This window comes from Homo sapiens, chromosome 14 (assembly GCF_000001405.40).
Source record: "Homo sapiens chromosome 14, GRCh38.p14 Primary Assembly".
NCBI lineage: Eukaryota > Metazoa > Chordata > Mammalia > Primates > Hominidae > Homo > Homo sapiens.
This window is the reverse complement of record NC_000014.9, coordinates 106,124,476-106,150,805: the sequence shown is the minus strand read 5'-3', so window position 1 is coordinate 106,150,805 and position 26,330 is coordinate 106,124,476. Positions and strand designations below refer to the sequence as shown.

The following is a 26,330-nucleotide window of genomic DNA, read 5'->3' as shown; positions in this document are numbered from 1 at the left end:
ACATCCAGGCATTTACATACATCCTCCGAAATCTGGGCAGAGGTTATTAAACCTCAATTCTTGACTTCTGTGCACTTGCAGGCTCAACACAAAATGGAAGATGCTAAGGCTCGGGGCTTTCACCCCCTGAAGCCACAGCCTGAGTTATATGTACCTTGGCCCCTTTTAATCATGGCTGGAGCAGCTCTGATGCAAGGAAGCAAGTCCCTAGACTGCACACAGCAGAGGGACCCTGAGCCCAGCCCATGAAATCATTTTTTCCTCCTAGGTCTCTGGCTTATGATGGGAGAACCTTCCACAAAGGTCTCTGACATGCCCTGGAACATTTTCTGCATTGTCTTGGTGACCAACATTTGGGTCCTCGTTACTTATGTAAATTTACGCAGCTGGTTTGAATTTATCCTAACCAAATGGGATTTTATTTTCTATTGCATTGTCGGGCTGCAAATTTTCTGAACTTTTATGTTCTACCTCCTTTTTAAAACTGAGTGTGTTTAACAGCACCCAAGTCACACCTTGAATACTTTGTTGCTTAGAATTTTTTACTGCCAGATACCTGGTATCATCTCTCTCAAGCTCAAAGTTCCACAAATCTCTAAGGCAGAGGCAAAATGCCACCAGTCTCTTTGCTAAAGCCTAACTAGAGTCACCTTTGCTCCAGTTCCCAACAAGTTCCTTGTCTCCATCTGAGGCCACCTCAGCCTGGATTTTATTGTTGACATCATTATCGGCATTTTGGCCAAAGCCATTCAACAAATCTCTAGAGAGTTTCAAACTTTCACACATTTTTTGTGTCTTCCTCTTAGCCCTCCAAACTGTTTCATCCTCAGCGTGTTTTCCAATTCCAAATTTGCTTTTATGCTTTTGGGTATCTTATCAGAAGCACTTCACTCAACTGATACCAATTTACCGTATTAGTTGCTTTTCATGCTGCTGATAAAGACATACCTGAGACTGGGCATTTACAAGAGAAAGAGGTTGAATAGACTCACACTTCCACGTTGCTGGGGAGGCCTCGAAATCATGGCAGAACATGAAAGGCACATATCACATGGTGGCATACAAGAGAAGAGAGGACATGCAGGGAAACTCCCCTTTATAAAATCATCAGCAAGACAGGAGAACTCATGCAGGGAAACTCCCCTTTATCAAATCATCAGATCTCATGAGACTAATTCACTATCATGAGAATAGCATGGGAAAGACCCCCCCCCACCATGATTCAATTATCTCCCACGGGGTCCCTCCCACAACACATGGTAATTATGGGAGCAGCAATTCATGATAAGATTTGTGTGGGGACACAATCAAACCATATCAAGAATGTATAGGAAACTTAAACAAATCAAGAATCAAAAGACAAATAACCCCATTAATAAATGGGCAAATAACAAGAACAGACACTTCTGAAAAGAAGACTTACAGGTGGCCAGCAATATTTTAAAAGATTCTCATCATCACTAACCATCAGAAAAATGCAAATAGAAAAATGTTCTAATTTTTGTCATTATAGATTGATTTTTTCTGTTTTGAACTTATTTTTGCTATTTTTTAGGTTTATTTATGTAATTTCATGTCTCAAGGTTTTGTCATCGTATATATACATATGTATGTACTAATACACATATGAATATTTCATATCTGAATCAATCCATAACATCAGTAAATGACAGTTTATTAAGTAAATAAATCAGTTTATTATGTGAAATAATGACGATATGTATATTTGTTTTCCTGTTGATGAAATTTAAATTTGTTTCCAACATAAATATTATAAGCAAACTGTTATAACTATTTTTGTGCAAGTTTTTCTGTTTATATTCTCACATATTGATAAAATATGTAGAAATATAAGTATGCTTTTTTATTATAAGACTTACATTTTCAGCTTTATGGAGCTAAAGTTGACAAATAAAATTGTATGTATTTAAGGTACACCACTTGACGTATTGATATACATGGGAAAATGCTGGATGGTAGATAAGTAAACAATGCTAAACAGCACTAATTATCAGGGAGATGCAAATTAAAACTGCAGTGATATTTCTTAAACCAGTCAGAACAGCTACTATTAAAGAGCCAAAAATAACAGGTATTGGTGAGGATTGAAGGCAAAAGGAACGCTTGGACACTTGTGGTGAGGATGTAGATTAGCACAGCCTCGATGGAAAACAGTATGGAGATTTTTCAAAGAAGTAAAAGTAGAACTACTTTGATTCGATAACCACAAATAACTACCTAAAGGAAAAATAAATCATTATATCAGAATGATAAGCAGACTTTTGTTTTCCTGCAGAACTATTCATAATAGCACAGTCATCAAACTTAGGAATTAACCTATGCCTAACAACAGATAGTTTTATAAAGAAAATGTTACATATATATACATTTAAATACTATCCAGCCATATTAAGGGATGCAATCATATCTTTTGCAGCTACATGGATGGAATTCATCATTATTTTAAGTATAATAATTGAGAAACAGAACATCATACACCACATGTTCTCACTTATAAATGAGAGTGAACTCATATGTGCACAAGGACATAGAGAAAGGAATGATGGACATTGGAGACTCAGAAAGATGGGAGAGCAAAAGGTGGGAGAATGGTGAGAAATTACTTAATGGGTATGATGTACATTATTTGGATCATGGATATGTTAAAGCCAAGACTACTATGCAATATATATATGTAACAAAATTGCAGTCACTCCCCATAAATTTATACATATAAAATAAAAACAAATACAATTAAAATGATTAACAGTTGATAAACAATACTGAAAATTAAAATTTGTGATCAATAAATGAAAATAATATTAGTTGAACTTCAAATTTTAAAACATTTTCTACTCAAGTGACTATCAAGAAAATTAAGGACAAGCTGCAAAGGAAAAAATATTTGCAAGTCATATATCTACCAATGTAATTATAACAAGAACCGGCAAACCTCAAAGATGTACAGATGACACATCAGCATAGGAATGTGATTTTCCACCAGAGAAATGCAAATCAAGACCAAAAGGAGACACTACTATAGACTTTCTAGAAAGACAAAAAATAAAAAAGAAATACTGACAATATCAGAGTTGGTGAGGAAGTCAGTCACCCTAGAGACTAATATATTGCTAGTGGGAATGCAAAATGAAACCGTTTCTGGGAAAATCATTTACAGTTTCCCATAAAATTAAACATGTCCTTAATCCATGACCTAGAACTCTCACTCCTAAGTATGTCCTACAAAGGATTAAAATCATATGTTCACACACGTATTCAGATGTTTAACATTGTGTGTGTGTGTGTGTGTGTGTGTGTGGTGTGTGTGTGTGTGTTAGAAACTAAAAACAACATGGACGTCTTTGAAAATTTGACACAAACCATTACAGGTGAACTCCAGACTTTCTTCTGAGTGACAGAAGGCCTGCCTGAAAGATCCCCAGAGACACAGTCGTGGATTTCACTGTCACCCTCGCATGTCACTGGCTTGGGCTGGGCTCTCTCTGGCTCTTCCCTGACCAGGACCAGATGTTGAGCTCCACTACCTGCAGTTGGAAGTTTATATTTTCAACAATGCACTGAGGTCTAAGTTGCTCTGCAGATGGAACCAAACAAACATGGGCGCCTTTGAACAAACAGTGCCTGACATTTGTACTGACCCCAGGAGAACTCTTTCCAGCTCTCATTCTTCTTGGTTCTCTCCTGCAGGCCAGCAGCCCTGAAGTTTAGCCTGGATCTCCCATGCATCCACCCATCTCCTTCCAAGTGCATTTTACCACAGCCTCCACTGTTTTTGAAGCACTCTTGGGCTTTGTAATTCTCCACACTCTGTTGTAAAGGAAGTCAGGTCCTTCAAGACCAGATTCGGGACTCTATTTTATGACCAAATTTCAGCCTCACCCCTGCTCCTGAGACAGAGCTCCTAGATAAGATTCTGCAGGTGGAGATTAGGAGTGTTTTTCTTCTTCAATGTAGTTGCTGAGCGCTCAGTGCAGGGTTGGGGAGAAACTTTCCACTTTGTCAGCATGCAGCTCCTGCTGGGGTAGACCTTCTTCCATAGAAGCAGGGTTGGGAACCAGGGGGCCAATGTCCTCAGTGCTGCTGCACCCAGGGCAGAGCCTTCATCCATCAGTGGGGCTGTGGAAGAAGTGAGTCTCTGGTTCTCAGTAGCTCTTGTCCAGAACTGAGCCTCTGCAGCATGTTCTGTCGGCCCCAGTGTCCTGGCCCCTAAGGAGCAGCATCCTAAAATGGGAGCTAGCGTATTTGAGAATAACAACACCTACACATTCAGAAGCTCTTTGGCTTTCTTTCCAGCTAATATAATTTCCTTTTTTTTGTGTAGCAACCTGTACACACGCATATTGATGCATACAGACCTATGACACTTTTTTCTCGATAAGTAAAAAATTATTGATCACTGTGATCTTTTCTCCAAGTTCACCATTTCCCTGAAGGTGAGCACAGGTCCTTCTGCATGTGTTCAAACAAAAGGCCCAGAGACTACCTGGTAAGTGAGGTGCTCACCTGGTTCTGGATGTTTGGTCTGTCTCCTCCCCTCTGTTGCCCCACACAAGGTCAGCCCACTCTTTCCAGGTCCGAAGAAGAGAGCACAGGTTTGTCCTGATTATATGACTCACCCAGCTTCTGATGACTCTCCTGTTGCCAGCGTCCATGGCCTCAGTGAAGGTGTCCTGCAAAGCTCTGGATACACCTTCGCCAGCTACGACATTCACTGTGTGTGACAGGCCCCTGGATAAGGGTTTGAATGGATGGTAGGGAGCTACTCTGGCAATGGTAACACAGGCTATGCACAGAAGTTTCAGGGCAGAGTCACCATGACCAGGGACACGTCCACGAGCACAGCCTACATGGAGCTGAGCAGTCAGAGATCTGAGGACATAGATGTGTACTACTGTGCGAGACACACAGTGTGAAAACCCACATCCTGAGAGAGTCAGAAATCCTGAGGGAGGTGGCAGCAGTGCTAGGCTTGAGAGATGACAGGGATTTTATTTGCTTTAAAGACTTTTTTTAGAAAGCGAGGTTAATTCATTGCAGAAAAAAGGAAAATAGAAATGTGTATGGACTCTAATTATGTGGGAAATTTTCCATACAACTTTTGTTCTCTAAGCAAAATTCAGGGAGTGGAAAACAAATCAAATTAATAAACCTGATAAAAGAATTCCTCTGAAAATTTAGTGTGAGCATAAGTTTTTGAATGGGTGTTGTAAATATTTTGGAACACAGCTGCTAGATCACATTTTAACTCTACACTTATCTCCATTATATAAAATATCAAAATGTTTTAATGTTTTCCATTTTGTGCAATTATAATTTTGTGTTATAATCACATTTTAACACTTTAACTCTACACTTATCTCCATTATATAAAATATCAAAATGTTTTAATGTTTTCCATTTCGTGCAATTATAATTTTGTGTTCATGCCAGCAATGCATGATAGATCTTGTTCTTCCGCATCCTCATTGCCATTTGGCACTAAGAGTATTGTGTATTTTAATATTCTAATAGATTAGTAGTGATAGCTCATTGCTGTTTAAATGCACATATTTCTAATTAAAATTTTGTATTTAATTATTTTATATAATTGTGATGAAGTGTCTCGTATGGTATTTGGATTATTTTTTATTGCATTGTTTCTTTTTGATCAGTTGTAAGTTTCCTTATATACCCATTATATAAGTCACTCACAAAGTTAACAAAAAATTGATTAACAAATATGTGTTTTACAAGTGTATTCTCCAAATTGTTGTTGTCGTTTTACTCCCATATCAGTGTCTGTGGGAGAAAAATATTTATATACATATATATGTGTGTGTGCATATATATATATATATATATATATATATATATATATAGTGTGTGTGTGTGTGTGTGTAAACTTAGATAAAATAATTATTTCATAAATCATACTTTTGGCATCATATCTAAAAACTAATTATGAATTCCACTAACAGGATTTTTCTCTTGTCTCTAATCTCAGGCCACAATCACAGCATAAGCATTTAAATTTCTCCTATTTGATGAGAAGATTATTAACTTAAGATGTTTAGAATTCTTCTGAATGGAAGGTGCCTTTTTTCTAATTTTCTGTATTCAATAATCTGTTAATATCAGTATTGGCTCATGAATGTTTATTTTTTACTATGGAGAAGATCTAGTGCTACATTATTTATTTTATCGCTCAAATCACCACAGCTTTTTTTTAGGTTCTGTGAGCTCATTTAGTTTGGATTCTGTATTTTTACAGCATGCCCCATCCTTTTGTTTTTGATCACTTCCCTATTTCCTGGTATTACAAGAAATACTAAGCTCATTATCTCTATTATCTTTTCCACACATAGAATCAGTTATTTCTCCAAGGATTACTGGTCCCTGATATTAAAGAATTATATTAAAACACAAAATTATGATGTTGGATGTGTGTGTTGTTAATGTACTGTCAGTGTTTCTAGAATCTCTAAGCTAACAGGCCTAGAAAATGTGTATGTGTATATTAACCCATGTTAACTGACCCATCTAATCTATTTATGTATCCAATCTTCTGTATGTTTATTGCATCAAACTTTAGAACACTGGTATCTACAATCTACTATGATGATACATGAATGTTTCAAGCCTTCCTTCCTTGCCTGTCCATACCACCTACTGCAAAGTGAGGAACCCCTCCCATCATTTGCCGTTCATTCAATTTGTTGTACAATTTTAGAATATATGCGTCGTGGTATTAGAATTGTTAACTTGTACCCCTGTTGGAAGTATGTTTATTGACTAGAATAAAGTGTTTAAGTGCAGTTTCTTTATACTTTAGACTTACAGAACACCCTGAGTTCTAAGTTATATAGGTGAGAAACTTTATGTGCCACCTTCTTCAGTGAGGTTATTTGAAATATGTTGTATACATTTTATTTGACATTCTGTAAAAGACAAAACTGTAGATGTCATAAATATATGAGGATTTTCTAGAAATTTAGAGAGAGGGTATGCATTAGGAGAAACAGGTACTGTTTGCAAACAGTGAAATTTTTTATGATCTGCAGTAGTGAACACATGACACAATTTGTTAATTCTCACAATTTTATGATGTAAACTGTGAATCTAAATATATACAACTTACAAAATTATGTAGCACATCATGAACATGCAAAGTGTACAAAAATAAAATATCAAATACATTTACACCGCGTGGGCAGGGAATTGCATGAGATGCAGGCAACAAAGAATGAAGTAACCTTCCCCATTTGCACATAAGATGTTTCCATTCACAAGAGACCTTTCTTTTATCAGGTTCATGTGCAACCAAGTTTCCCTGCTGACAAGCATTTAAGCCAGATGATTCGCAACTTCCTTTGACTGAGAAAGATTTCCCTCAAACTTCAGCTCAGTGCAGGCACACACCATCTCTGAATGGGCATTTACCATCAGACAATGCCCACACCTGTCCCCACATGGACCTTTCCCTCAGACAAACAAACACATCCTCAGGTTGACTCTTCCCTCAGACAAGCACCCCTGTCTTCATGTGAACTCTTCCCTCAGATAAGCACACATGTCCCCACATTGACTTTTTCCTCAGACAAGCACATATAGCTGACAACGAACAGTTATGTGGCAAAATGAGCTCAGGATAGTGGTAATTATGGACTCCAGCTCTGATAGTTTGTAGAAATTGTCATTTTTAAAATTCTGACTGAAGACTTTCCTTTATTGTAGAAGACAGTCCTTTACAGCTCTAATTGCACAGCCTACAGGCAGGAGTCCATTTCCTCTGGGCAAGGTTTATTTTTATTTGTTTACTGTACTTATTTGTTGATAAATATTGATACTACAAAGATAGCCTATAGGGTCCACATACGAGAAAAAAAGAGTAATGGGCAGATCAACCCTGCAAATCCAGTCCCAGGAGTCTTTGACCCTGCCCTCCCTGGAATCCAGAGACAGAGATGGAAGAGGCCTGCTGAGCAGTGCACTCATGTCCCCAGGGAGAAAGACATGGAAATGAGGCCCCTCCTCTGCAAATGAAAAGTAGCTCATCCCCTGTTCCTGTAGATCCTGGTGAGGAGCCATCCCACATCTGTGCCCTTCCTCAGTGTCCACACCATGGGGTCTGTGCGGATCTGGGCTGCTCTTGTCATCACTCTCAATGTTTAGGTTCCCCGTGGATCAGGCCCTGCTGTGGCTGTTGCCTCTGTGTTTGCAGAAGTCCCCTGTGAAGTTAACTAATGGAGTCAGACAGAGAAATACTACAGACCAGGAATTCTGCCTTTTCTGCAAAGCCTCTGGATTCACTTTCACTGAAAACAGCATAAGCTTGATCCAGCAGGCTTCATGACAGGGGTGGGTGTGGGTAATAACAATAATTCAAATAGAAGTTCTCAGTGGGACTCTCCTTGAGTAAAAAGATGATTAACAATCCTCAAATACACTCAGTTCAGGAGATTCTCTTTTAAGATGATTAACCTGAGAGCTCAGGAAAAGTCCGTGTATTACTTTGAGGGACACAGTGAGGGGACATCTGTGTGAACTCAGACACCAACCTCCCTGCAGGGAGACAGGAGGGGACTGCCTGGTAGATGCTTCTCAGAACCACCAGGGGGTGCTCAGGACATCAGGGGGCACTCAGAACCATCAGGGGATGCTCAGGACACCAGAGGGCACTCAGGACACTGGGGGGCGGGGGGTCACTCAGAACCACCAGGGGGCGCTCAGGACACTGGGGGGGGGGGGGTCACTCAGAACCACCAGGGGGCGCTCAGGACACTATGAGGGGGGGTGGTCACTCAGAACCACCAGGGGGCACTCCGGACACGGTGGTGAGGGGTAGCTCAGGATAGCAGGGGTGCTCAGAACCACCAGGGGGCGCTCAGGACACTGAGGGGGGGTCACTCAGAACCACCAGGGGACACTCGAGACACCAGGGAGCCCTCAGGACACTAGGGGGAGCTCAGAAACACCAAAGGGCAATCAAGACACCAGGGGGATCTCAGAACCACCAGGAGGTGCTCAGGACACCAGGGGTCTCTGAACCACTAGGGGGAGATTAGGACCCCAGGGGGCTCAGAACCACTAGGGGGTTTTCAGGAGACCAGGGGGCGCTCAGGACACCAGGGGGCGATAGGGACACCAGGTGGTTCAGAACCACTAGAGTGTGCTGAGAACCACCAGGGGTGCTCAGAACCCCAGGGGGCTGCTAAGGACAATAGGGAGTGCTGAGAACCACCAGTGGGCGCTCAGGACACCAGGGGGATCTCAGAATCACCAGGCTGTGCTCAGGACACCGGGGGGTGCTCAGGACCTCCAGGAGCACACACGACACAAAGGATAGCTCAGGACCTACAGGGGGCGATCAGAACGCCAGGGTGCGTTGAGGACAACAAGGGGCTCACAGGACACAACGATGTGCTTAGTAAACCGGGGGACACTCACAACCACCAGGGGGTACTCAGGACACCAGGGGGTGCCCAGGAAACCAGGGAGCACTGAGGACACCACCGCTCCCTTAGGAGGCAGATCCACATCAGGTCCCTGAGTGGGAGCAGGGAGGAGGGTTCCTCTTGTATCTTGTCACTAACATGTTGGGAGTTTTTCTGCTTCCTTTGTGGTTTCAATTATTGGCTGATTCTTCGGTATAAAGCAGAGCAAGTATAAAGCTCTGCTTTCTTGGATTATGTCATGTTTTTGGCTTTGGATGCTACCAGAATTACATTGTACTTTGAGAGGATTCATTCATGGTGTGTGCAATAGTGAATGAAACCTGTAATTTTAGGGGTGGCTTTGAAAGCTATGTTAGGTGTGGCTGAGGGAAGTTTACAGGAAATGGTCATCACTACAGAAGGCTACTCATTTCTTTGCACATTTGCGTAAGCAATTGTAGTTTATGAATTAAAAACTGCCTGTTTTCTTGGTCCTTTTTCTTAAATGGTCCCACTCTAAGGGCAGTAATGTAATCAAGCTGTGTTTCAAAGATCTGCAATCAAGTTAAGTCTGTTTAATGAAATGCTTTGTAAAGAAAATGTACATCTATTTTTTAGAGTCACCTTTACATTTTACATTGCTTTACAAATATTAATTTGGTAAATTTAGTCTCATAATTATCTTCAGTAATTAAAAATCTTAAAGTCATGTCATGTTAAATTAAGTAATCCTAGGCTTCTCACTGTGAATTAGGGTTACTAAAAATTAGAATAGTAAGAGAGTATAATCAATTTATGGTGAAGTTTATTAAGAAAGATGAAGATACGTTTTTTGCTTAAAAATATTTTGTTTTCCAGTTTACAGGGCCTTTCTACTGGTTTTAAGATGACAACCACTGTTTACATCTAACCCTTTTTTGTTGAACATCTGTTGAGTTTCTATTCATATTCCACAGCTAGAGTTTTAAAGTAAAAGCTCTAGTATCTTTGTATTAGTGTGAATGTGTGCTTGTATGTATTATGTACATATATATATATTTTTTGTTATGTGTTATGGCTACAAGGTACAAAATTGACTTTAAAATAAATAACTATTTTAAATTAAGTCAATGAGCCCTAATGCATCTGAAGTACATGTAACTTAAATAAATATGTAATAAATAAGCTGGCTTCAAAATTATTGGTAAAATAAAATTGGAAATATTTTAACAATTATTAGAATACCTCATAGTTTATATCAATTGATCAAGTGATTTTATATTTAAAATCACAGCTAGATATTATATGGTGTGAAACATTTCTATGAAGATTATAAAATTATTAACCTAGTTAAAACCAGAATGATCTTTGTAATTTGACAAATAAGATGTTTAATACTGTTGTTTTAATAAAAAACAGGTAAATAGTTATTGGAAATACAATCATTTATTTAATAAGAATTTTACTTAGGTAAACACCTGAAATTCATGGGTTATAATATGGGTAACAGGGAAAAAACTTTAAAGGATGAGTATTACTGTTTTCATAAATGATCTAGGTAAGCTATTTAAAAAATAAATTAGGTTAATGTAACAAAATAAACCTTTTAAATAAACTTGTTCTACAATTTAAAAATCTAAAGTTTAATTAAATAATAGATATTAACTAAATGTTTAGGTCATTACTAATTGTTTTAAAAAATGTATACTATAAGAAAATATTTTTGTAAAAAATTTGTTCTTACAGAAAGATTTTATTTAATTCAGAGGTTACTTATAAAACATCCTAAACATAACCAGTAAATAAGAGAGATGCCACTGCACTCCAGCCTGGGTGACAGAGCAAGATTCTGTCTCAAAAAAAAAAAAAAAGAAAAGAAATTTTTAGACATAGAGGAGTACTTTTGGTATGAAAGGTTAAAATAAAAAAAAATAATTTTATATGAGAAAGAATCTTGTAACTTTTTATCCTAAAATAAAAATGACTTTATTTAAGAAACAGTGATGTTTAGAATAAAACTATATGCTCAAGTATGCCATAAGCGTTTTGTGTAAGTCAAACTAAGGTTTGTAAAAAGTTAATTAATTAAAATAACTTCATATTATGAAGTTGACTATAATTAAAAAGGAAGTATTTATAATAGTCTTTATAGATTTGTAGAGATCTGGCTTTCATATAAAAATATATAAATATACTAAAGATTGGTTAGAATGAAAAATTGTCTTAAAGTATTGATTTACTCAATAAAATTATAAGATATTTTAATTTTTTAACCCAAAAGTTTAACTCTTACTGCATCTTGCCAGTTTTATTTTATTCTCTTTTGAGAAGGCTTGAGAGGATCTCAAATTTTTCATGAGCTCCTCTAACATTTTTTTTCTTACAGCAGTTAGCCTCTAACGATGTTAACTTCTAACTGTTGTTAGCTTCTAACTGCTATTATTGCCTGATGCTAAAAATCTTTTATATTAAAGTTCTTAATAAAATGTTTTATTTCAATATAGTATTCTGCACTCTTGGGTTTTTTTAAATGTCTATATTTGTCTATGGAACCAAAATCTTCACTTGTAATCCAAGACACATTCTTCCTATGTCTAATTAATCAAATACTTTGTTTCATTAGAGTTGACTTGCAGGTTATCTGCATGGATTTCCCCACAGGGAAACACAGTCACACTGCTGAAGGTGTTTTTTCCCATTTGGTAACTGGCATAAAACAAATTTTATATTTTCTTGAAATACTTCCTCTGTAGCTGTTTTTAAGTTTTTCAACTACTTAGGAATACTGAGATTTTGAGAAAATATAAATTATTGTTATTACGTTAATGTAACTATCTGCATAACTTTTAAAGGACTTGTCCTGCTACATTACTGATCTTTGATTCCTAGGTCTAAAAAGGATACACAACACTTTGGGAGGCTTCAGAGGGTGGATCTCCTGAGGGCAGGAGTTAGAGACGAACCTGGCCAAAACGGCACAATCTCATTTTAATAAAAAATACAAAAATTAGCTGGGCGTGGTGGCGGGCGCAGGTAATCCCAACTACTTGGGAGCCTGAGGCAGGGAGAATTGCTTGAACCTGGGAGGCAGAGGTTACAGTAAGCCGAGATTACACCACTGCACTCCAGCCTGGGTGAGACTCTGTCTCAGGAAAAACAAATAAATACAATAAAAATAAAAAAGACACCGAGTCTTGCTAAATTTTAAACTCTGACAGCAATTGAAGCCCCATCTAGAGATGTGGAAGAAAATGACAATAAAAATTAATCACACACTTAAGACACAAGGCCGGAAAATTGAATCTACTCAACCACTCCAGGCCCAGGGACTGTTACAGAAGAAGCGGTTTGTAAGATTGTAAAAGCTAATTTTGAAAGATGAAATTACTTGAGAGTTTTTTATACAGTAAACATTAATATTAAAGGCACACTAATGCCAGGCTAGTAGCTGGGCCATGTGTCAGATTGACAAGGGTTTCTTGAAGAATTAATCCACTTTTTAATTTGAAAAACTTATAAAAGTTTATAAGAGATCATTTGAAATTAAATTTTATGGTAAAAGTAATTATAATGTAATAGATTTATTTTTCAGAATTGAGAGACAGTTTTAACTTCTCTCATGCTGTTCTTATAAGGGGCTATTGTTTAGAAAATTAATTCTTCTCTTTGAAAAATAAAAGTTTTTGCTTTCTTTCAAAATCACTGAGTTCTCACTGGGCTAAATAAATAACTTACATTACAGCAATCTGTAATCCTATTTTGTAATATCAAGCATTGTAAACTTTTGATATTTGACAAACTTCACAAAATAAAATTCTAAATTCAGTCATTTGACCTCATTATTCTTTTATGATATTAGGTCCCCAAAGCCAAAATTAAACATATTCAGCTTATTTGGTATAATTAAAATATGCAGGAAGCAATGTCAAATTTGCAAAAGTGTTTAACTTTGGACTATATTTAAATAAATGTGGACTATATAATTGGACTATATTTATATAAATTAAAGAGTATATTTTCCAAAATTGTATGAGATTCAAGTGATTTGATATGTCTTAGTATATTTTATCAGTAGTATTTATGATTATTATGTAAAATTTCTGTTTATTGCAGAAATAACCAAATCTTCCCCTCAATTCTGTCTTTAACCATGGCTATTCTAAAACTTCAGTCATCCACAGTTGGTGTTTTACTTTGATTCTTTATCAGGTGGCTTATAGTAATCTATAGAATTTTGAGGAGTACTCAAATATACGATTGTGACAATTTTATAAATTGTGCCATTGGTATAGAGATTAAAACTTCCATGACTCTCATTGATACCTGATTCATTTATGATGATTGTTAATCTAATATTAAGCAGGACAGGACTTAATTGCATGAACTGAATTGACAGAAGACTGAAATTGTTTTTATGGCTTATTCTTTAATGCATTTGCTAATTACTTATGTTCTGTTTTTTCAGAATCAGGAAAAGTTTGTCTTTTAAGCTCTTCACAGTTGTTAACAATTGAGTATGGTATACTTTACTGATAAAAAAATAAAAACATAATATCTTCTTATTTACATAATTTCTCCAAAATTTGGAAACTGTGAGTATTCTTATATCAAAATAGTTATTTGCATAGGTTCAATAAAAACCTGCTTTCTTCCATAACAGGGCACAATTGGAGACAATGGTCATTTTACTAAGGCTTTAACTTGAATTATATATTTTCAGATTTACTTTATAAAATGAATCTAACCTGGAGAGCTGATAAAGCCCCTTGGGAAAACTGGCATGCACATTTTTTTTTTTTTACAGGGCCCTGAACTGTAGTAAGTAAACAATTTAATTTCTGACAGACCCAGGACTCCCAGGTTTTCTTGGAAACTTGAAAAAAGAGAAAGTAACCCAATTCACATAGCTATCTGGTGGCACAGATAAAATATTGGCTGGGCTTGAAGATTTTAAAGATTCTACCCTTTGATTCCTTATAAAAAATTTCCAGCAAAGTCAATTTATGAATAAAATTGCCTATGTACAAACAAAAAATAGAAAACAAAAAGAGAGCTAATATGTTAAAGGATTACTTTGCTGCATCTTATACAAAAAAACCAGGCCAAGTCTCATAAGCCTAAAACTGATTTTACAAATAGATTAGTCCTACTATGATTTTGTGTCTAATAAAATTGGGGAATTATAGAGAGAAATATTATTTCAAAATAAACTATAGTGCATCAGTTAATAGATTTTAACCTTGTCCACTTGCTTTTCAATTTATATTATTTTCTACAATTTGGACTGAATTTTAAAGCGTATCTTTGCACGAGTCTCCAAAATAATGTTTTCAGTTATTTCCCTTTTTAAATATTTTTCCTGGCTTGAAATCAGCAGAAGTTAAACTGTGCTTTCTTACAGCTAGACAATGTAAATTCTAAAAGAAAACAAAATCAATGATATGGTTTGGCTCCGTGTCCCTACCCAAATCTCACCTTGTATTGTAATAATTCACACATTGCAAGGGTGGAATGAGGTGGAGATAATTGAATCATAGGGGCTGTTTTCTTCATGCTTTTCTCCTGTTAGTGAGTGAGTTCTCACAAGATTTGATAATTTTATGAGGGGCTTCCCTCTTCACTTAACACTTCTCTCTCCTGCAGTCATGTGAAATAGCATGTGTTTGCTACCCCTTGCATCATGATTGTAAGTTTTTTGTGGCCTCCCCAGCCATGCAGAACTGTGAGTCAATTAAACCTATTTTTCTTTAAAAATTACCCAGCCTCGTGTATGTCCTTATAGCAACCTGAAAATGGACTGATACAAGCAACTTAACTACATACGAAGTCTCCTTTTGTACCTGCCTATTGTGAAGAGAAAATAAATCTTGAGACCCCAAAATCACTAAGCTAAAGAGAAGAGTCCAGCTGGTGTAATAGGAGATAGAAAGAAATTATTTAGGTAGATAGTTAGGATGAAAGAGTCTCTGGCAAAACTTTTCTTCTCACAAGAATTAGCTCAGAAATAACTTCTTTTCTAATCAGACACAGTTCAAAGAGATCACTTCTAACAAAGAGCAGCCTGAAAGATCGGGCTGTAAAACATAGATAAACAACTCTGGCAGAGAGGGTATTTCTGTGTGTAATCACCAAAGTTCACATACATAGGATGGGTCCCAATAAAAACATTGGGTCTTAATGAGCACATTCCTTTCCTTTTCTGGGGTCACACTGAGATAGGAAAGCTGTTAGCTTGCACGGGGTTTGGGATGCCTCCAGCTGCAAGGAGGTACCAGGGACCTGGCATGGAAACTCCTCCCCCCTTTTTCAGCACATGCATGGTGGAAGGAGATAAGGAACGTGGAGCAGACCAAGCTAAGTCCCCACCTGCATAATAAAAGCATGAGATGGGGCTGCCAGAGACTTCGCTCTCTGCAGATGGCACACCTGGTCCTGCTTTTGCACCTTATGTTGATAAGAAGCCATCTCCCCACGAGCACATTTATAAAAATCCTTACGTTGATAAGATACTGTCTCCCCACGAGCACATTTATAAAAATCCTTACATTTTACTGCGGCACAGCAACCCATCTGGGACCCTTTCTGTGACAGAGAGATTTTTTTTCCTTTTACACATTAAATTTCTGCTCTAACCTCACTCTTTGTGTGTCTGTGTCCTTGATTTTCATAGCCACGACACAAAGAACCTTTGGTGATATTCCAGATAACAAAGGTGCTTTACTGGAGAGGGCTTTGGGCAACCTGCCTCCCATTCTATTCAAAGTGATTCCTCTGAGGCCCACACGAGACAGATACATATCTGATTGCTTCCTCTTCAGTATCATTTATGAAAAAATGAAGATTCACTAAGTCTGACTAAATTGTGGATTCAGTGGTAGGCTGATAAAGGACTTAAAATAATGCAACCTACTGTGTCTTATCTACTTCTAAACTGCAAAACCCCCTTTCAATTTGTCCTGTCTTGAAGGAAAAAAAATGTACATTTTACATATATTGATTGATGTCTCATGTCTCTCTAAAATGTATAAAATCAAGCTGTACTTCAATCGCCTTGGGCACATGTCTCAGGACTTCCTGAGGCTGGTCATGGGTGGGTTCTTAACTTTGGCAAAATAAATGTATTAGTCTGTTCTCCTGCTACTAATAAAAACATAACCAAGCCTGGGTAATTTATAAAGCAATGAGGTTTAATGGACTTATAGTTCCACATGGCTGGGAATGCTTCAAAATCATGTCAGGAAAGCAAGGGACATCTTACATGGTGGCAGACAAGAGAGAGCTTGCACAGGGGAACTCCCCTTGATAAAACCATCAGATCTAATGGGACTTATTCACTATCATGAGAACAGCATGGGAAAGTGCTGACTTACTGCAGGAGAACTACATAATTTTATATTTTCCTATATGCTTCTTTTTCATTACACATGTAAATTTTCATACCATCCAAATTTCCCCTTACCCAGCTTTTCCTCTTTATATATTGAAAGCCCTAAAAATTGTCTTTGGGGAATGGCACTAACCACACACAGTTTCTGTGATTACTTTTATTTTTCTTCCAGGCATGTCCTGGAAAGACATAATTTCCTTTGGGAAAATTAATTTTAATTTGATTAAGATCTGTCTCAGAAACCTTCGGTTTACACTAGGAAAGATCCCAAATTAGGAGCCAATTACTGTAAAAATCAGCCATACCACTCTGTGAGTGTGTGTGTGTGTGGCGGGGGGTGTATATGTGTGTGTACATGCATGTTTTCATTTCTGTGGGCTTTAAGCCATGTAGTTCTCTCTGCGAAGATACTATTTGGCATGACCTTTGAATAGAGAATTGTAAGAGAAATAAGAGGCTCCTATGAATTATCCGAAAGTTTCTGGACTCACCATGTATCTTGACTGTGTCATTGCATCTGACAGTCCCAGGGAAGTGACTCTCTGGTGGTTTCATGAATCTGTGCTTGGGCTCTCTCTGCAGTTTACTGGGTATAGTAATGACAAATCACTGTTTCAAGAGACAATTTCGAAAGCATTAGATGCTGCTGAGAGAGGATTATGAACCAGGGGACAGCCCCTTCATTCTGGGGGAGCGACATTGGGAGAATATGCTCTGTGAGCCCAAACAGCTTCCTCCCCTGCAGGGTGAGGGCAGAGCTGCAGGACAGGCCCAGAACCCACTCAACACAGATGTCAGCCCTGGAGCTGCTGCAGAGGAGTCTGAGGAGAAAATTTTACCAGCACCTGAATTACACTTATTTCAAACAAAAATGCATGTCCTGTGAGTGTTTGTTTCCCTATTGGAGGAGTTCTGTACTCATGAAGTTCTGGACATGCCAGCGGACAAATATCAGTAAACAAACATCAGAACTTGAACCTCAGCTTCCCACTGTTGCATTCTCCATGTGTCATCTCTATTATTTCTCATGCTAGATCAGGTATTTAGCTATGAAATATTCCAGCTAATTAACGTGTAAATAGCTTGAAGTCTACTGAGTTAAATACATATATTTTCTCTTGTTTTTGCCAGGTGTTCCCTCCCACACCTCCAATAGTCTCCACTATTATCATCATCTTCTAGATCTTCTGCGATGCCCTGGAGATTAAGGATTTGATTCCATGACAGAGAGGAGGTGCATTTCGATGGAACTTTGGTGAAAACCTTGGTCTTTATCCCATTTCCTCTGGGGCTCCACCAGTGCCTCTGGAATCATGGTTTCAGTGGCTTGCCCCTGCATGGTAGGTCATTCCTTTATTCTGTAGTGCTGATGAGGGAGGTGGGTCTGAACGCATTTCAGTAGTATGGGCTCTCCTTCTGTCTCAGACAGACACTTTGGGAAAGGAAAATTTTTCTGAGCGTCCTCATTCTAGAACAAAGGGATTCAATTGTATAGGAATGCTGAAAATAGAAAACCTTCAGCCAAATTAAGGTTAATAAGATTAATTGAGCAATGGATGATTCATGAATTGGGCAGCCCCCAGAATCACAGCAGATTCAAAGAGACTTCAGTGCAGTCACGGGGTGGAAGAAGATTTATAGATTAGAAAAATGATGTACAGAAATCAGAAGTGAGGTACAGAAACAGCTGGATTGGTTACAGGTTGCTTTTGTCTTATTTAAACAAGGTGTGCACCCTCAAGAGTGTACGAGTGGTTGAGGTATGGCTGCTGGAATTGGCCAAGACTCCGCTGTTGTTACAGGCGCATGCTCCAAAGTTGGCTTTTCAATCTCGTCCACCTATTCAGGTAGGTTACAGTTTGTCCACAAGGACTCAAACACAGAAGTACGGAGTCCTTTTCAGGCCATATTTAATTCACTTTATCAGTGCCCTTCAGTATGTGGTTCCTGAGAATTTCACATGACAACACGTTTACCACACTGGAATTTAAGCAATCCAACACGTTTGTAGCTTTGTCTTGTAATGGGCTATATTTCATGTGGCAGCCTCGGCCTCAGTTTAGCTAACACTATGGCTTCATTTCTCTCTACAAGAACTCATTTCTTCCAAGATTTCCATGTTCCTGAAAGGAAAATAAACCTTTGGGACCCCCATATCACTAAGCCAAAGGGAAGTCAAGCTGAAAATTGTTTGGGGCAAACCCACCTCCATTCTTTCCCTAAAATGAGAGCTACTAAGGTTTTTAAAAGCTACAGACCTCCTTCAAAATTTGACCACAAGTAAAATCCTTGTGGACCCAGGACAGAGAGAGTCATTTCTCTGCTCATGTAAGTCAAACGCATACCTGATTGCTCCCTGTGCTCTACTGTTTCACTAAGTCAGACTAAGGCCTACGTGACTATTCCTGTAAATTGTGCATTCAGTTAAAGGCTAATCAGAAACTCAAATAATGCAACCATTTCTCTCAAACCTACCTATGATCTAGAAGCCCTCTCCCCACTTCAAGTTGTCCTGCCTTTCTGAACTAAATCAATGTACATCTGATATATATATATTGATTAATGTCTCATGTCTCCCTAAATTGTATAAAACCAAGCTGTGCCCACAAGCTTGGGCACATGTCGTCAGCACTCCCTGAGGCTGTGTCACAGGCATGTCCTTAATCTTGGAAATTGAACTTCCTAAATCTATTGAGATTAGTCTCAGATACTCTTTGGTTTACAGGTTTGTTTTTATTTCATAACTTCAATTATTTGACATGCTAAAGAAAATTTGCCAAATAGCGCATTCTCTTGTTTATGTGTTATTGTTGTTGCAAAAATAATATATTTTATATATAATTTATCATCTATGTACATTACCAAATTGAGTAGCAGATTTATTAGTAAGACCCAAAGTAATGAAAAGTTCAGATACCAATTAGCAACTTAGAAAAACAAATTATGCTACATTTGTTTGCTGAAATGCTACCTATTATTTATAAAAAATAAACAATACAACATAAAAGGTTTAATTCTCAGTATTTCTATTGAGAAAAATAAGCCAAATAGATGAGTACATACTATATTATTTCATTCTTATAAATTCTAGAGAATAAAAACTAGTCTAAAGAAATATGAAAACATCAGTACTTTTATAAAGAAATGGTAGAAGAAAAGGAGAAAAACAAAAATATATCTATAAAAGAGCAAGAGGAATTCTGAGGTGAGTTGACTTGTCACCTTCTTGAAAATAGAGACTTTCTTTATCAAAGTTTACTATTGTACAGGTTAAATATGTGAATTTTATCATCTGTCAATTAAAACTCATAAAATTTATTACAAGTAAACAAGTGAAATTTTAGACAAAAAAGGGATGATAAGAAGGAACAAATAAATACATTAAATGTCAGATACACCAAAAATGTATCTGCCTGACGCCTAGTTGTCTCTGTATTTTTAGGTAAATGCAGCAAAATCACACAGGTTGTCGTGGCAGGAAGTGGATTCTGCAAACCACACTAGGCCGTTTATCTCTGTCCTGTAGTTGGTTCAGAGCAACTGAGGCCAGCTGTGAGGCGCATAGGCCCAGGTACTAGGACTCACTCATGCCAGATATAAGCCCTGAGACACGTACATAGCCCCTCCATGTGTGGGTTCACTTTTACATCTGTACATGAAGAAACCACTGACTCCTAAATAACATCATCTATACACATAGGTAAAAAAATTAAAAATATGATAGTTGTTAAATGTTTATCGCAGAACAATTTCAAAATAAGGCAGCATTTTCCCAAATACAATCATTGTCATCAAAATCCCCCAGGACGCTCTCATCTACTCTGCGCCCTGCCTTCACCTCAGATGTCCCACCCCAGAGCTTGCTATATAGTAACAGACATGCAAATAGTTGACTCCCTCTCCTGATGAAAACCAGCCCAGCCCTGACCCTGCAGCTCTGGGAGTGGAGCCCCAGCCTTGGGATTCCCAAGTGTTTGTATTCAGTGATCAGGACTGAACACACAGGACTCACCATGGAGTTGGGGCTGAGCTGGGTTTTCCTTGTTGCTATATTAGAAGGTGATTCATGGAGAACTAGAGATATTGAGTGTGAATGGGCATGAATGAGAGAAACAGTGGGTATGTGTGGCAATTTCTGACTTTTGTGTCTCTGTGTTTGCAGGTGTCCAGTGTGAGGTGCAGCTGGTGGAGTCTGGGGGAGGCTTGGTACAGCCTGGGGGGTCCCTGAGACTCTCCTGTGCAGCCTCTGGATTCACCTTCAGTAGCTACGACATGCACTGGGTCCGCCAAGCTACAGGAAAAGGTCTGGAGTGGGTCTCAGCTATTGGTACTGCTGGTGACCCATACTATCCAGGCTCCGTGAAGGGCCGATTCACCATCTCCAGAGAAAATGCCAAGAACTCCTTGTATCTTCAAATGAACAGCCTGAGAGCCGGGGACACGGCTGTGTATTACTGTGCAAGAGACACAGTGAGGGGAAGTCAGTATGAGCCCAGACACAAACCTCCCTGCAGAATGCCTGGGGGAAATCAGCTGCAGGGGGCGCACAGGACCCACTGATCAGAGTCATCCCCAGAGGCAGGTGCAGATGGAGGCTGGTTTCCTGTCAGGATGTGGGACTTCATCTTTTTAGAGTTTCTCTAGGGAACCTCTCTAAGTTCAGAATTCTGTGCTTACCAATGCCATCCCTACATATTTTTAAAATGATTATTTTAATATGAAAACCTATTCTCTTATGCACGAAACACAGACTGATGCTTACAGAGATGAAAAGCCCTCAACCATTGTCACCAGGATCAGAGTATTGAGGAAACTCAGGGGTACCTGGTGGGTCTTCTCCACTCAGACTCAGGACAGAAACCTCAGTGAGTTTCCCTGACTAGGACGGTCTTTAGGAATTGTGATCGCAGCCAATAGAGAGTCTGGGCAAGGATCAGTGTCATGTAGAACTTCACAGGTTTCACTTCTGACCCTTCTCCTGACACTAAAGTATACAACTTAGTGTCAGCACTGATCTGGGGCCCCTTTTGCTCTTAGCCCATTCTATTTCTTTTTATTTGTTGTTGTTGTTCTTGCTTTTCCTTGTAGTGTTCCTGCTCCCTGTAAAGTGGGGATGTGGCTCTTGCTGCCAAAGCTCCAGGTCTCAAGCCCATTCCCTGCAGCTCAGGTGGGGCTCAGGCTGTGGCTCCTGCAGCCACGTGGAAGAGGCTGATGGGACTTTCCTCTCTCCCATTGCTCAGCACCCTCCAGTGTGTCACGTGGAGACTCACCTGCGAATGGAAGTGGCCAACAGTAGTGAAGGGGATGAGCTTGTGTGGACAAAATGGGATGTGGATGTGAAATTTATCCTGTGCTGTGCAAAGTAGCACAGAGTGAGTCACCTTCCTCACCAGTAGTGTTAGAAAGAGGGTGTGAAAGTTGTCAGAATCAAAATAGATCCACTTGTGTTAAAACCCTGACAAATGGAACTAGGAATGACCATGAAGGAGGTTTCCCATGCACATACTCCTGATAACAAGATCGACCATAAATGGATTCTGCTTAACCACAACCTTTGATAGAAGCCACCATGACCTTATAAAAATCACTTCTACAAGGACATCTTCCCAGCAAATCACGGTTTAACCCTATACTGATGCCAACCTTGGTATTGACTCTACAAGCAAGGAAAATCCTCTCAAAACAATTTATGCAACCCACCTCATTTTCACTCATAAACCTATGGATTGACATCCTGGAGCCACTGCTGCATTTGTTGTTAATGGTAATTAGCCCCTTTTACAATATTTGTGACTGTTTTTCTCCGATGTCTCTTGGAAAATAAATAATTTACAAGCTGATGGCAGTAAAGAAACTATTTAGGACATTTTTAACATCCTGTTGAATATTTCTGCATAGCACATCGGTCCCCTAAAATACTTCGCTGTATTGGCATGTGATGAATCAGAGTATAATGCTGAAGGTAAAATGGGAAATACATGGGCTTTTGATGAATCAAGTCATAGGGTGAGAATGTCTGTGTCCTTGAGGAAGGAGACCTTGGGCTGTAAGTTCTAGTGGGAGTACCTTTGGCAAAGGGATTTCATGAGTTTCTGAACGTTATGCTACTTTTAATTTAAGAATGCAACTTATCATTTATTTTTACTTAAATCTTTCCAGAAGATATTTGGCAGTAAGGACAGGGTAGCATTCGTGTGATACTGATGACTTAGAGAGTTATTTTGTAATTTCTCCTGTAAGGTATGCACATTGCTCACTTGATACAGAAGTTCAAATGTCACAGGCGGGAAAATAGGAATAAAGCAAATTTTATTAAATGTCACGACTGTAGTTTTTGGCAAGGAAGTGCTTCATGTCAACCTGAAAATAGACAGACAACAATAAAACATATTCAAATCCAAAGGGAGTCAGACCTATGTCCCTCTCTCTTATAAGTACAAGGCTTTGCCACATCCAAAATATCCTTTAGGCTCCAGGGTATAAAATGCTTTTGGACTGTGAAGCTAACAGCTCTCCCCTCAGACAGGGATAAGGCATCTGGGGAATGCAGAGTTGTGTTCATGAAGAAGATGGCATTACTGTGTCTTCTCCTGTGCCTGGTGATGGCTCCCCCAGGGTGAGTGTCTCAGATGTCAGATGTGGGTCTATGGGGTGAGTGTAGGTACATGTGACTGACGGGGACTGATTCCCCATGTATTCACATGCCCTGTCCCAGGAGCAGCTGCAGGAGTCAGCCCTGGACCTGAAGAGCACACACTTACCCTCTGCTTCACCTACACCATTTCTGGCCACTCCATCACAACCAGTCCTTACTACTGGACCTGGATCTGCCAGCTCTCAGGGAGGGGCTGCAATGGATACAATGCATTGCTAGTGGTGGTGGGAATCCGTTTGTCTTGTGGAAAATGGCAGCATCTCTTTATTTTATAAGGCAGAATAATGTTATATTGTGTACACATACCACATTGTCTTTATCCATTTGTCCATCGACAGACACTTAGTTTCCATATCTTGGCTGTTGTGAATAGCGCTGCAGTAAGCACAGGAGAGCAGGTATCTTCACAGGGTGGTAATTTCATCCCATTTAGGTGTATTTCCATAAGCTGGATCGCTGGTCATATGGTATTTCAGTTTTAATTTATTTAGAAGCCACCACACTGTTTTGCATAATGGTAATGATGGGAATGTAGAATGTCATAGCCGCTACGAAGAACAGTTTTAGATTTGAGGTATAATCCAAAAGCAAATAATGTTTGATCATGGTTCTCATATGAGGCTCTAATAAATCTAGTGGAAGTCCAGAAAGTTTTCCCACCTTGGGCAAGGATGAGTTTGCCCCTAATTGTCTTTGAGGCAGAATATTTGCAGAATGTGAGATGGAGTATGTCGGCAGGATTCAGGATGATTCAGCCATAAATAGTAATGGCACAGAAAAACAGGGAGTTAGAGACATGCAGAGAAAGAAAGAGATAGAGAGAATATGAATCTCATAAGAGGAAAATCTGCTGGATATCAGTGTTGGGTTTTCATTCATAGAGACATCAGTGTCAGCAAGAAACCATGAAGTCAAGTGAGGAGTGGAGAACATGTTCAGTCTGAAAATCAGCATATTCTCAGAGGCACCCATTGTCCCATGACACAGGCAGAGAATTTCGGAAACCAGTGAAGTGGGAGTTCACAATAAGTGATGAAGTTATCATTTTTCCAAACTTTCATTAATATGCAAAGTATTTCTATAGATCACTCATGCACATACACACAAAATGTGTTTTTGCATTTATGGGTGTCTAGAGAAAAATAAGTGAGAAAATTTTTCCAGGTTGCAGAGATCTGTTTAAGTTATAGATTCCACAGGAGAGTGTCTTTGAATGAATACTATTCTATTAATTAAATAGGACAAAATTCCCTCTGTTGGAGCAGCCTTCCAATTATGTAGATTTCTTTATTGCTTCTTGAGTTGTGAAACATAAACCCAAGGATTGACTTACTGGAATTCGAGTGCTGTGTTGATAAAATTTCTGATAAGTTTTCTTCCAATGATTTGAGAATAGCTTTCCTGTTTTTTTACTCAAGGAAATGAATTTTCACAAGGTTTCAGGACATCACGTTTCAGGTGTTTTACTTAAAGAGACTCTTCCTGGGTGCAGTCAGCTTTCTTCTAACCATGAGCTCACTTCTTCAGCAAACCATTCAGTTTGTGCCTCTATTAAGAATTATGAAGCTTTTAAACTTCAATGCACTGAAAATCATGCCCCTTGAATTAAATGTTGATTGGCACTGACATGAATTGTCCACTCTTGGATATGTGTCCTATGTTATGGGCTCAACATATCAGTGGACTGAGAATCCTCCATTAGCTGCCTCTGACTGTGGCACTGACCAGATTGAGAATCCTCAGAGTCATCCATGAAAAAGAGAGTCTTTAGGTTCATGGGGTTTTTGGAGACATTCAGGTGAGTGGAGGGGAGAAACAGGACTGGGGGTGGCCAGCCATTTCAACAAGACTGGGAAAGATTAGCATCTAAGTTTAAAGGTCTACATCATTCCAAACACCCTGCATGACAGGCTGACAGGAAGAAATCCAACCCCACAGCGGCTCCATAGCATCTCTTTAGTATACTTGGTAGTGAAGCTGTTTCAGGGAAGAAACGTCCACTCAAGGGAGTCAGTGATGCTTCTCTGAGCTACAATAAACCGTGTATTGGACCCAGGTTTCTCTGAGTTCAATGTGATGATTACACTCAGCTGCTGCTCCAGTGAGTTTAAATGAGCATGTGGCAATTCAGATGAGCCTGGCTGTGTGGTATGTTATATGTAAATCTGAACTATGTAAACATAAAGGGCATGTCGGAACTAGTGTGAGGGTGAGAGATCTTAGAGGCCCCACACCTCACACTCTTGTGCTTATTTGCTCCAGGAACCTCCAGGTTCTTTGAGTGAAAATCAACATAGATCCTTTCCTGGATAAATCATCCAAATATCTAATCTCTGAGAAATACACATGCACATTTCTCCGGATAGACCATCCAGGGGAAAGACATATCTAGAACCTTATCTGTGTTGGGTAAGGTAGTCCATCTCCATTACAGACCCTCCCAGCAGCCTTCCTTTATCATGAAAGTGGATAAAATTAGCCAATAGAGAAATAATCCTATAATGTTATAGCCAGAAAAGGGAAAGCAACAGTTTCATTTCTGGAGACTCTGCGTATAGGTCACAACCCAGAGAAAGAAAGGATGACTGAATTATTAAGAATCAATTGTAAGAACATATAATACTTCCAGGATGCACACTTTGTTTTCTCACCAGTATAATCTGGGTTAAAGATGAAAGTGTGGAAATGCACAGACTCTATGTGAGGAGGAGAACATAGGGAAACTGAAAGACAATGGCAGAGAATAAGACAAGGACAGTAGGAAAATCTGAAGCCTCTGACATAAATTTTTTGAAGACAAGGTCTTGGCAAATCCATTGACCTCAGATTCTTTTATCATGGGGCATTTGCAGGGTTCCTAGCTGAGAAAAAAAAT

General features: G+C 38.8%; 2 pseudogenes, 1 gene segment (V, D, J or C) and 1 further gene; all 4 read left to right on the top strand.

The window, feature by feature from the left end:
* Positions 1 to 26,330, top strand: part of IGH (immunoglobulin heavy locus) — a 1,293,408-nt gene that overhangs the window by 729,039 nt on the left and 538,039 nt on the right.
* IGHV1-14 (immunoglobulin heavy variable 1-14 (pseudogene)) lies at positions 4,675 to 4,924 on the top strand (annotated as a pseudogene). The gene is given in 1 exon segment: positions 4,675 to 4,924. A coding segment is annotated over 1 exon segment (250 nt).
* IGHVIII-13-1 (immunoglobulin heavy variable (III)-13-1 (pseudogene)) lies at positions 8,222 to 8,520 on the top strand (annotated as a pseudogene). The gene is given in 1 exon segment: positions 8,222 to 8,520. A coding segment is annotated over 1 exon segment (299 nt).
* On the top strand, positions 20,814 to 21,266 carry IGHV3-13 (immunoglobulin heavy variable 3-13). The segment is given in 2 exon segments: positions 20,814 to 20,859; positions 20,963 to 21,266. Coding segments are annotated over 2 exon segments (350 nt in total), but the record flags the coding sequence as incomplete, so codon positions are not given.